This window comes from Homo sapiens, chromosome 17 (assembly GCF_000001405.40).
Source record: "Homo sapiens chromosome 17, GRCh38.p14 Primary Assembly".
Classification (NCBI taxonomy): Eukaryota; Metazoa; Chordata; class Mammalia; order Primates; family Hominidae; genus Homo; species Homo sapiens.
Window position 1 is genome coordinate 47599534 of NC_000017.11, and position 13230 is coordinate 47612763.

Below are 13230 nucleotides of genomic sequence, written 5' to 3' on the forward strand. Positions count from 1 at the left end.
TGCATTTTGTATACTCATGAGACATTTGGTTGTGCTCGTTCCAGCATTTGTCACAGAAATGTTGTCTCCCTCCTCTTCAAAAACAAAAACCAAAACCCCAGATGGTGTCAGTACTATTATAGCCTTTGTTTTGCTTCTTTAGGTAGAAGATGACAGATTATTGAGGTTGTCCCAAAAGAAGTTCTGTGCTGGTGGGTCATATGTTGGTAAGTAAATGGCTGTAAGTGAGATATGATTGATGAATTTGGATATTAACTAATACCAGTAGTATTCCAACTAATAGGAAATTTTTCTTTTTTTTTTTTGAGGAGTCTCACTCTGTCGCCCAGGCTCGAGTGCCATAGCGTGATCTTGGCTCACTGCAACCTCCACCTCCTGGGTTCAAGCAATTCTCCTGCCTCAGCCTCCCAAGTAGCTGGGATTAACAGGAACATGCCACCATGCTCGGCTAATTTTTTGTATCTTTAGTAGAGACAGGGTTTCACCATGTTGGCCAGACTGGTCTTGAACTCCTGACCTCGAGATCCGCCTGCCTCAGCCTCCCAAAGTGTTGGTATTACAGGTGTGAGTCACTGTGCCCAGCCATAGAATTACTCTTTTAATGAATATATCTAACAAAGCTGGGCACAGTGGTTCACGCCTGTAGTCTCAGTACATTGGGAGGCCAAGGTGGTCAGATTGCTTGAGCCCAGGGGTTCGAGACCAGCCTGGGCAACATGGCAAAACCTCATCTCAAAAAAATAAATAAATAAAATTAGCTTGGCATGGTGGCATGCATCTGCAGTCCCTGCTACTTGGGAGCCTGAGTTGGAGAATTGCTTGAGCCCATGAGATCGAGGCTGCAGTGAGCCGTGATTGTGCCATTGCATTCTAGCCTGGGTGACACGGCGAGACCCTGTCTGGGGGGAGAAAAAATATCTAACAAATCAGATGACAGTTTTATTATCCAAATAAATCTGTACGTGTCACAGTTGCCGTTTTCTGCCTCTTACCTATAATCCACATTGTAGTACTGACAGGTTTTTCTAATACTCTGTGACCAGTAGAGGTAACATTAAAACTTGCAGTATCCCAATATTGGAGAAATTTTACTTTGTGGTTTAACCTGATAGCATAAAGCTATGTAATTTATTAAAGTAGCTCCATTTCCATGAATGTACTGGGCAAGGACTCTTTTTTTGTTTGGCATCTTAATGCCAAGTCTGTTTTGCTGTCTGATATGTAAGACAGTGTTTCTGCCTTACAAAAGCTTTGGCTTGTAGATATGACTCCTCTGTGACGGAACATAACAGCTTCCAGGTTGTATCCTGTCTATCACAACAATAAAAATTAACCCTTCGATATTTCAGCAGTGTGTATACCTGTTAAGGACTGCACCTTAGAATTTGTTTTTAAATGATATATGAAGGCTGGGCGCAGTGGCTTATACCTGTAATCCCAGCACTTTGGGAGGCTGAGGCGTGTGGATCCCTTGAGGCCAGGAGTTTGAGACCAGCCTGGCCAATATGGCAAAACCCCATCTCTACTAATAAAGTACAAAAAAATATTGTATATTTTTGGGCATGGTGGCACACACCTGTAGTCCCAGCTACTCAGGAAGCTGAGGCACAAGAACTTCTTGAACCCGGGAGGTGGAAGTTGCAGTGAGCTGAGATCACGCCACCGCACTCCAGCCTGGGCGACAGAGCAAAACTCTGTCTCCAAAAAAAAATATACATACATATATATATATATTTTTTGTTGTTGTTGTTGTTTTTTTACTTTAACAGTAAAATTGCTGTCTTTGCTCTCTAGGGGGAAAATGATAATTAAGTTTAAGTCATTGCATTTGTGATTCTACAAGTGAGTTAACTGTTTTCTTTTTTTAGACAACATGTTGTGATTTTGTTAGTAAATGATCCCTTCCTTTGCACTGATACTATTCAGGTTATCTGGAAGAGTTCATGTACCACTAAGAATGAACTATTGACTTAACAGTTTGGCTTAGGCTCCTGGTTAGAACACCACCACTCCTCTCTCCACCTTACCTTCTGTTTGTCCCAGTGCAAAATTTGTTTGTTCTTCTCTGGCTTAGGTGAAGATTGTCCCCAGTGGATGGTCCCTATCACAATCTCTACTAGTGAAGACCCCAACCAGGCCAAACTAAAAATTCTAATGGACAAGCCAGAGATGAATGTGGTTTTGAAAAATGTCAAACCAGACCAATGGGTGAAGGTGAGTTCAGAATCTTACCTAAACAGATTTCTCTCACTTATACATTTTATGGCCGGTTTTAAATTCTGCTTCAGTTTAGTAGTTTCAAAGAAAAAAAAAAACCTAAACTTTTCTTTGTGAAACTTAGGACGAATTTTCATATAGTATTGTCCAGACATTTGTCCTTATGTTAGGGAAGGTAGTGGTAGAGAAGCAGATCCAAAGGCATAGGACTAAGGAGGAGAAGAAAAAAAAAAAAGTAGACTGAGTGTAAGCATATATGAACCAAAATATGTGTAGTCTCACACCTTCAAACTCCCCTGTCATTGTAATGAAAGGTTAACTTCAATGATGTGTTGTCACCATATGTGTACTACTGTAATCTAATGAGAGCAGACATACATAATAATCGGTTCGTGTCACTGAAATGTAAAATTCCTTAGTTGGTATTTCAAAACCATTTCACAAAAATACCAATAGGTAAGAATTATTTTTCATTATTCTGTACTCTGTACCTTTCATAATGAAAGTATTTACTACAGACTCTTAATTGTATGTTCCTAATAGGAATTATACATTGTATCAGACATTTGTGCTTTTTTTTAAAAAAAAGCCCGCCGAACGCTGTGGTAGCACTTTGGGAGGCCGAGGCAGGTAGATCACTTTCGGAGGCCGAGGCAGGCAGATCACAAGGTCAGGAGTTCAAGAACAGCCTGACCAACATGGTGAAACCCTGTCTCTACTAAAGATACGAAAAAAAAATTAGCTAGTCGTGATGGTGTGCACCTGTAATCCCAGCTACTCAGTAGGCTGAGGCAGGAGAATCGCTTGAACCCAGGAGGCGGAGGTTGCAGTGAGCCGAGATCGTGCCATTGCACTCCAGCCTGGGTGACAGGGTGAGACGCCATCTCAAAAAAAAAAAAAAAAAAAGCCATTTTTTCTGTTTATCAACTTCTTTTTTTTTTGAGTTGGTCTCACTATGTTGCTTAGGCTGGATTCAAACTCCTAGGCTCATGTGATCCTCCCACCTCAGGCTCCGGAGTAGCTAGGATTATAGTCATGAGCCACCATGCCTGGCATTGTTTTACTTTTTTAAATATATATTTAAAATATACTCACTGGAATATTACCATTTGAAATTATAATCTGGAAGATTATGTTGTAGCAATATGAAAAATTTCTTATAAATGAGAAAAAAGTTATGTACACTACAATTTTGATTAGGTTAAATAAAGGGAATCAATAAAGTGATAGTTGCGTTAAAATTGTAGGGGTGGTTTTAAAAATATTTACATATAAATAGTAAAATATTTGTATCTTACTGTTTTACCATTTAACTATTTTGAATATAAATGTTCTCAAAACTATTTTTTGGCTATTGGTAAATAGCCTATAGAGAATAATGCAGTTGCCAGGTGTAGTGGCTCATGCCTGTAATCCCAGGGAGGCTGAGGCGCGGCGGATCACCTGAGGTCAGGAGTTCGAGACCAGCCTGGCCAACACGGTGAAACCCTGTCTCTCCTAAAAATTACAAAATTAGCTGGGTGTGGTGGCGGGTGCCTGTAATCCCAGCTGCTTGGGAGGGTGAGGCACGAGAATCACTTGAACCTGGGAGGTGAAAGTTGCAGTGAGCTGAGATCATGCCACTCCCCTCCAGCCTGGGTGACAGAGCAAGACTCCATCTCAAAAAGAAAAAAAAGAATAATGCAGTCAGTAATTACCTCACGCCAAAAATCTTATGAAATTGCCTTTTAGGTCCATGTACTTCTTTAAAATTGGAATCTGAAAATTGTTATTCCGTTCAGTCTCTGTGCTTATAAGATCAATGTTTGTAAAGGCCTAAGCTTTCTTAGAGATTCCACTGTCCAGGTGTTTTCATATATATTAAGTATTTTCTGTAAACCTAAAATTGAGGTTAGAAATAGAAACCCACATTATTTTGTCCCTTCCTTGTTCTTTCTACTGTCCCTCACTTTGGCCCTCACAATTTCAAGTTTCCCTTTTCTTTTGTCTGTGCATTCATTCTGTCTTGATGTGTTGTCTTGTTTTAATCCATTAGTTGGCATAGATGGTCTTAATTGTTTTTCATCCAGATATATCTAAAACCAGAACTCCTTTTAAACATACAAAAGGTTGATTTAAAAAATTAATGGAGCTGTTTAATAGTACTTACTGGATATCTTTGCAGTTAAACTTAGGAACAGTTGGGTTTTATCGGACCCAGTACAGCTCTGCCATGCTGGAAAGTTTATTACCAGGCATTCGTGACCTTTCTCTGCCCCCTGTGGATCGACTTGGATTACAGAATGACCTCTTCTCCTTGGTGAGCATCTGTGACTTAAGTAATATGATGGATTTTGCTGATTAAAAGATTCTGTTTTTCCTGGAGTGTCTGAAACATAATTAGAAGAATATGGGTCTTCATGATGGTTAAAAACACCTTTGGGACTAGAGCAAATCACTGTTTTTAATATGACAAGATTGAGGCTATATAATTTAAATCCCATTTCACTACTCCTAAGCCAGCTTTCTGAAACTCTTAATTAAACTATCCTTTGTAAGGCAAAAAATTCCTTTCTTTTCAGTAGAAATAAATATAAGCCTTGAAGAAATGACCCTACTGATAGGTTTTTAAAATAATTAAGTCAGAGTGATTTTATGTTTTTCTAAATAGTGGTTGTACTTTGCTGGGAAAGCCATAATTTTTAAACATTGTGTTCTTATTTCAAATTATATCCCATTAGCTTTAGAATTATATTTATATTTGGCTTTCTTCCAGAAAGGATTTAAAGCAGCAATTAGTATTATTTTCTTTATGACTTCAGCGTAGGTTAGGTAATTTCCAGATGTCTTTATGATAAAATTGTCATATTCCTCCTAGTATTTCTTTAAATTGGACTGGAAATTTTCCCTCCCCTCTGCAGTCATTGGTTTTGGATTCTGCCTTTGTATAAACACAGATTAGCATTGATGCACAAAACCTCACATCTGCTGATCTAATTGCTGAGAGAGACCTGTCCCAGGAGAGTGAGCTGTTTGTGCAGCTGGCTGCTGTAACAGAAGTTCTTTTTCCTAACTCTGTTAGTTCTGAAAGGACTTTGAATTTGTAGTGCCTTCTAGTTTATGTTCTTTTAGAAATGAGTAAAGGAGAGGCTTAAGTTGACACAGTTTGCAGGTCCGGCTTTGAAAGAATGTTTGTCAAAAACCAAAGCTCAAACTATTTTTGCAGTTTTTCTGAAAGTATGAAAAATTTCAAAACAGTAACAAAGCCAAGTCCCCAGAAACTGAGTAGAAATAGAAGTTAAGTGGTTTGTTGTTGTTCTCAAATTGTTGGGACTCTTAGTGTAATTTTTAAAAGTAGTTCTTGTATAAATAGCAAATGATTCATTCTAATTTTTCTGTAAAAAGAAAAAGAAAAAAATAACAAAGGATTAAAGAAGGAATGTTGTCTGAATAGGATTTTTATGCTAACAGTGTTCTGAGCTTATACAGTCCCATTTCCTTAAACCAAAGAAATTGCTAGCAGTAGATAATGCCAAAAATGCATGCTTATGTTTTTTGGTTTTGTTTGAAGACTAGGTTAATTTATGTTTTTTCCTATCCCAGGCTCGAGCTGGAATCATTAGCACTGTAGAGGTTCTAAAAGTCATGGAGGCTTTTGTGAATGAGCCCAATTATACTGTATGGAGCGACCTGAGCTGTAACCTGGGGATTCTCTCAACTCTCTTGTCCCACACAGACTTCTATGAGGAAATCCAGGAGTTTGTGAAAGATGTCTTTTCACCTATAGGGGAGAGACTGGGCTGGGACCCCAAACCTGGAGAAGGTAATGGATATACTAAATGGAGAAAGAATTACGCAGAAGTTGGTACTTTTTTATGTGGTTAACAATATAATTAATATCATCTTTGTATCTACTGGATGTTACTATATATTCAGCAAGCCAGAAATTAAGACGTGAGTCTTTTAAGTCTGCTGGTGAAGTTACATGGGTCAACAACATAGAAACAGTAGTGGTTATGTGTGTTCGATGCTAAATATAATTTGTGCACATGGTGGAAATAAAAGTCTTTTGCAGAATTCCAAAGGCCTATTTTTAGTCAAGAAAAGCTAAAGGGAATTTTAGGTTGTTTTGTTTTATTTATTTATTTATTTATTTTATTTTTTTGAGACGGAGTTTCATTCTTGTTGCCTAGGCTGGAGTGCAATGGCGCGATCTCGGCTCACCGCAACCTCCGCTTCCCAGGTTCAAGTGATTCTCCTGCCTTAGCCTCCCGAGTAGCTGGGATTACAGGCATGTGCCACCACGCCTGGTTACTTTTATATTTATAATAGAGATGGGGTTTCACCACGTTGGTCAGGCTGGTCTCGAACCCCTGATCTCAGGTGATCCGCCTGCCTCGGCCTCCCAAGTTTTATTTATTATTACCATAAATACCAGGCACCTTTATGTATAACTTGTAAAGGTGCTGAGAGACACAGGGGTCAGCTTTTTTAATTAAGGAAATTATTTGCTTTCTACATGTGTTCTCTGCTCTGATTATTTCTATAAGCATATATTTACTCTTTTTGCTCTCATTTAAATATTGGGGATGATTATTTAAAGGTTTTACATATCATTATTTTTTATCATCTGCTAATAACTAAAGGTGGTGTTTCCTCCTGACCAGTCTTGACCCAGAAGTCTTTTGTAATAAAAATAGTAGCAATACCTAGAGCTCTATGTCTTGTCTTCTTTTTTTTTTTTTGAGATGGAGTTTCACTCTTGTCACCCAGGCTGGAACGCAGTGGCGCCATCTCGGTTCACTGCAACCTCTGCCTCCTGGGTTCAAGCGATTCTCCTGCCTCAGCCTCCCGAGTAGCATACCACCACGCCTGCCTAATTTTTGTATTTTTAGTAGAGACGAGGTTTCGCCATGTTGGCCAGGCTGGTCTTGAACTCTGGGCCTCAAGTGATCTGCCCGTCTCGGCCGCCCAAAGTGCTGTATTACAGGCATGAGCCACTACAGCTGGTCCCAAACAAATATTTATGTAGCTAGTAAATGCCATATACTATTCTAAGAGCTGGTGAAACAGCAGCAACCCAAATATTGCCTTATATGGCTTACATTCTAATGGGAGACATAGCAAATAATTAAATGTATAATGGTCTAGGTGGCAGGAAGTATCATTAAGAAAAATAAAGTTGCCAGGGGTGGTGGCTCACGCCTGTAATCCCAGCACTTTGGGAGGCTGAGGCGGGTGGATCACAAGGTCAAGAGTTCAAGACCAGCCTGGCCAAGATGGTGAAACCCCGTCTCTACTAAAAATACAAAAATTAGCCAGGTGTGGTGGCGGGTGCCTCTCATCTTAGCTACTCGGGAGGCTGAGGCAGAGAATTGCTTGAACCCAGGGGGCAGAGGCTGCAGTGAGCTGAGATCAGGCCACTGCACTCCAGCCTGGGTGACAGGGCGAGACTCCATCTCAAAAAAAAAGAAAAAGAAAGTCGTCAGATAATAAGGAGTGCTGGGCCACTATTTTATAGAGAGTGTTTGGGGAAACTGTCTCTAATAAGGTGATATTGAGCATAAACTGAGACATGGAGAGAGTTTTGAGGCTACCTAGAAGAAAAGTGGTTGAGACAGAGGAAACAGCAAGTACAAAAGACCTGAGATGGGAGCATGCTTAGGGTATTCGAGGAATAACAAGAAAGCTGCTGAGTTCAGGACAAGAATGAGTGGGAGAGGGCAATGGGAGACCTTTCTGATCCTGTAGAACCTGTTTGCTACAGTGAGAAGTTTTTTGACTTTCACATTTAGTGATATGACATGCTAATTAGAGAGTTTTGGGCAGGGGAACTTGATTTGATTTACTCGGCTTTCTGAAGAACAGACTAAGAGAAGACGAGAGGAGGCAGGGAGACCATTCAGAAGGCTATTTTAGCAATCCAGTTGAGATGCTGGTTGCAACTAGAACTTACAGGTGGTAAAGTCTGTGTATATTTTGAAGGTGCAACTGAAACTATTTGGTGAAGGATGGACTGTGTGGTGGAAAGAAAGAGAAGTGTCATCAAATTTTGGCCTGCAGAACTGGAAGAATGAAGTTGCCATGTACAGGGATAGGGAAGACTGCTGTAGAAACATTTTTTTCTTTTAAAGATACAGAGTCTCGCTCTGTTGCCGAGGCTGGAGTGCAGTGATGCAGTCATAGCTCACTGCAGCCTCGAATTCCTGGATTCAAGCTATCCTCCCACCTCAGCCTCCTGAGTATTTGGGACTACAGGCATGCACCATACCCAGCTATGTTTTTTTTTTTTGGAAAAGATGAGACTTCACTGTGTTGCCTAGGCTGGTCTTGAACTCCTGGACTCCAGAAATTCTCCTCCCTCAGCATCCCAAAGTGCTGGGATTGCAGCCATGAGCCACTGTGCCTGGCATAGAAGCATATTTGGGTGTAAAAGGGAATCAGGCCAGGCGTGGTAGCTCACACCCGTAATCCCAGCACTTTGGAAGGCTGAGGGGGGTGGAACATCTGAGGTCAGGAGTTTTGAGACAAGCCTGGCCAACATGGTGAAACCCCATCTCTACTAAAAATACAAAATTAGCTGGGCATGGTGGCACACGCCTGTAGTCCCAGCTACTCAGGAGGCTGAGGCAGGAAACTCACTTGAACTGGGAGGCAGAGGTTGCAGTGAGCCGAGATTGCGCCATTGCGCTCCAGCCTGGGCAACAGAGCGGGACTCCGTCTCAAAAAAAAAAAAAAAAAAAAAGTGAGGGGGTGGGAATCATATCACGCATGTGGCTCACACCTGTAATCCAGCTACTCAGGAGGCTGAGACAGGAGAGTTGGTTGAGTCCTGGAGTTCAAGCCCAGCATGGGCAACATAGTGAGACTCATGTCTTTAAAAAACAAAACAAAACTGGATGAGATCAACCAGTGACTGAGTGTAAGTAGAAGAAAGTGGTCTGAGTTCAGGATTTAGAGATTGTGTGGAAAAGGAAGAAACAGCAAAAGAGATGGACTGGCCAGTGAGGTAGAAGGAGAGCCAGGAGAGAGGGGGGGTATCCCAGAATTTAAATAAATAGTAGATGAAAAGAAACAGTAGATGAAGGCAGAGGGAATGTGATCAGCTGTGTCAGATGCTACTACACTAAGTCAAACAGAATGATGAAGGCTAATTCAATATTACATTTAACAAGTTTTGTGGAGTAGTGGGGAACAATAATGAATTCTCCACTTTTGGAGCAGGTTCTTTAGAATAGGAGGAGAGGAAATGGAGACAACACACTTAGACAACTTTTTAAAGGAGTTTTGCTGAGAAGATCAGAGAAAAGGGGTAGATGAGAGAGACGTGGGGTAAAGGAAGGAATTTTTTAAGTTGGGAGATTTTATATTACATTTTCTGCAACTATTTGAACATATGCGGTAGTAATATGCTCAGGAGGCTGAGACAGGAGAAAATTCATGTTTTGTGAGAGAGAGGGCTTATTGCTATAGTGACAGCTGAATAATCAAGAGGAGTTGAGGTCCAGTGCAGAAGTTAAGGAGTTGGTTTTAGATAGGAGCACAGATGAATAGTGACAGGATAGGAGTACATGGACACAGATGCAGGTAAATTAATGGATGTTGCACTTTTCTTTCATGATGATAACGTGACACTTTTTGACTTCAAAACTATCTTTACAATATAGGGAGAATGCCTTCAATTTCCTAGCTATACAGATGGGAGAATGAAACACGGCAAAATAATAAAATGTTACCTTGCATCACACAGCGTGTTAGTACCAGAGCCAGAATTATAAATTACTTCTTGTAAGAATCATCACAACAATGTGTAGTTATCTATTGATCTCTGATGGTTTTCTTAAAATTATTTTTGGTTAAATTATGATTTAAGTGTAGCAAAATGAATAATCTAAATGTTACAGTTCCATGACTTTCGGCAAACACATACCACATTTCCATCACCCAGAAAGCTGCTTGGGCTCCTTCCTAATTGGTCCCTGCTACTTGAGCCTCCCGTGCCTACCCCACACAGGCACATGCCATTCTGATTTCTTTCACCTAGATTAATATTTATCTCTTCTATTTTATATACATAGAATCATACAATGTGTGTTCTGTTCTTATACCTGGCCTCTCTCACTCAGCGTAGTGTTTCTGAGATAATCTGGGTTGTTCATTGCTTTTTATTGCTGAGTAGTATTTCATCATATGAATATACTACATTTTATTTGTCCATTGTACTGCTGCAATTCATCAGATTTGTGTGCCATTAACTGTTTTTTTAATCAATCATTTATTTCCTGGATGTTAACTTTTTTTGAGAGATAATTCACATACCATAAAATTCACCCTTTTAAAGTATACAATTCAGTATTTGTTAGTATGTTCACAAGATTGTGCAACTATCACCTCTATATTTCCAGAAGAATTTCTTCACCCTCCCCACTCTCAGCCCCACCCCACCCCCCCAAAAAAAAAGCCTTGTGTCCACTGGCAGTCACTCTCCATTTCCTGGCAACCACAAATTTACTTTCTATTTCATGGATTTACCTATTCTGAACATTTCATGTACATAGAATCACAAAATACTTGGCCTTTTATATCTCCTTCTTTCACTTAGCATAGTATTTTCAAGATTCATCTATGTTGTAGCATGTATCAGTCTTTCATTCCTTTTTTTTTTGGGGGGGGGTAACAGAGTCTCACACTGTTGCCAGGTTGGAGTGCAGTGGTGCGATCTCGGCTCACTGCAACCTCCGCCTCCTGGGTTCAAGCAATTCTCCTGCCTCAGCCTCCCCAGTAGCTGGGGCTACAGGTGCACGCCACCACGCCCAGCTAATTTTTGTATTATTAGTAGACATGGGGTTTCACCATGTTGGCCAGGATGGTCTCGAGCTGTTGACCTCGTGATCTGCCTGCCTCAGCCTCCCAAAGTGCTGGGATTACAGGCGTGAACCACCACACCCAGACCCCCGGCTCTCTTTTATAAGGGCACTATTCCCATTCATGAGGGCTCCAGTTTTCGGCTATTATGAATTCTGTTATGCACATTTGTATACAAGTTTTTGTGTAGACATGCTTTCATTTATTTTCAAGATACCTAAGAGTGAAATTGCTGAGTCATATGATGACTCTTTTTTTTTTTTTTTTTTTTTTTTTTGAGATGGAGTCTCACTCTGTCTCCAGGTTGGAGTGCAGTGGGCATGATCTCAGCTCACTGCAACCTCCGCCTCCTGGGTTCAAGTGATTCCCCTGCCTCAGCCTTCTGAGTAGCTGGGATTACAGGTCTGTGCCACTACACCTGGCTAATTTTTTGTATTTTAGTAGAGACAGGGTTTCACCATGTTGGCCAGGATGGTCTCGATCTCCTGACCTCATGATCCGCCTGCCTCAGCCTCCTAAAGTGCTGAGATTACAGGTGTGAGCCACCGCGCCCGTCCTTTTGTTTTTTTAAGAGACAGGGTCGGCTGGGTGGCAGTGGCTCACGCTTGTAATCCCAACACTGTGGCAGGCCGAGGCAGGTGGATCACCTGAGGTCAGGAGTTCGAGACCAGCCTGGCCAACATGGCAAAACCCTGTCTCTACTAAAAATGCAAAAATTAGCCGGGCGTGGTGGCACAACCGTGTATTCCCAGCTACTCAGAAGACTGAGGTAGAGAATTGCTTGAACCTGGGAGGTGGAGGCTGCAGTGAGCTGAGATCATGCCACTGTACTCCAGCTTGGGCAACAGAGCGAGACCACATCTCAAAAAAAAAAAAAAAAGAGACAAGGTCTTGCTCTGTGCCCAGGCTGGAGTACAGTAGTGTGATCATAGCTCACTACAGCTTCAACCTCCTTGCAGCCTCAAGCTCCTGGGCTCAAGCGATCCTCCCTCCCCAGCCTCCTGTGTAACTGGGCCTACAGACATATGCTACCATGCTTGGTTAATTATTAAGTTTTTTGTAGAAACAGGGTCTTGCTGTGTTGCTCAGGTTGGTCTTGAACTCCTGGGCTCAAGCGATCCTCTTGCCTTGGCATCCCAAAGTGCTGGGATTATAGGCATGAGCTACTGTGCCTGGCCATAACTGTATGTTTAACCTTTTGAGGGACTGCCAGACTGATTTTCTAAGTGGCTTCACCATATTGTGTTCCCACCAGCAGTGTTTGAGGGTTCCAATTTGTCCACATCCTTGCTAACACTTGCTATTATCTTTTTTATTATAGCCATCATAGTGGGTATGAATTGGTATCTCATTGTGGTTTTGATTTGCATTTTCCTAATGACTAATGTGTTAAACATCTTTTTATGTGCTTATTGGCTATTTGTGTGTCTTGGAGGAATGGACCCATCAGATTTTGATTTTTAAAATCTAAGATTTCAATTTATTATACAAAGAGCATACTAGTTCCATATGTGATCTTTCTTTGAACCTTGGGTCAAAACAGCATGATGTAAGCCTGTCCTTTTCACACATAATCCTTAGCAGAGTAGTTAACTAGACTGAGTAAACATTTAGTAAACTCAGATAGTTTGCATTCGTGACTGTAGATAAAGTCAGCAACTTTATTTGCTTGTCTAGTCTGTTTAGCATATCACTCTTATGATTTGATAAATGTAAAACGAGTATTCTCTCAGGTATTAAGTTAATTGAGTGTGTTTGTTCAAGACCATAGAATTGGTATAGCACAATTATAAGATATCCAAATGGCAAACTTATAAAAATAGGCTTTTTAAGTAGTCTTATGTCTCTTTTACTTCTCAAATCAGGTCATCTCGATGCACTCCTGAGGGGCTTGGTTCTGGGAAAACTAGGAAAAGCAGGACATAAGGCAACGTTAGAAGAAGCCCGTCGTCGGTTTAAGGACCACGTGGAAGGAAAACAGATTCTCTCCGCTGATCTGAGGAGTCCTGTAGGTTTTCATCATAAATTCCCTTGACTTATAGGTAACATCATTTTGTGAAGCATGGAACTTTTTTTTTTTTTTTTTTGAGACAGAGTCTTGCTCTGTCGCCCAGGCTGGAGTGCAGTGGCATGATCTCGGCTCACTGCAGCCTCTGTCCCCCGAGTTCC

The 13230-nt window shown here is 41.0% G+C and overlaps 1 protein-coding gene across 6 annotated transcripts in view; it reads left to right on the plus strand.

Moving 5' to 3' along the window:
* Positions 1–13230, plus strand: part of NPEPPS (aminopeptidase puromycin sensitive) — a 100344-nt gene that overhangs the window by 76601 nt on the left and 10513 nt on the right. For all 6 annotated transcript variants that reach the window (NM_001330257.2, XM_017025373.1, NM_001411130.1 and 3 more), the window contains 5 exons: positions 143–206; positions 2075–2214; positions 4382–4516; positions 5800–6019; positions 12927–13069. In NM_001330257.2, the coding sequence (NP_001317186.1) occupies positions 143–206; positions 2075–2214; positions 4382–4516; positions 5800–6019; positions 12927–13069 (702 nt within the window). The remainder of the gene's footprint in view (positions 1–142; positions 207–2074; positions 2215–4381; positions 4517–5799; positions 6020–12926; positions 13070–13230) is intronic.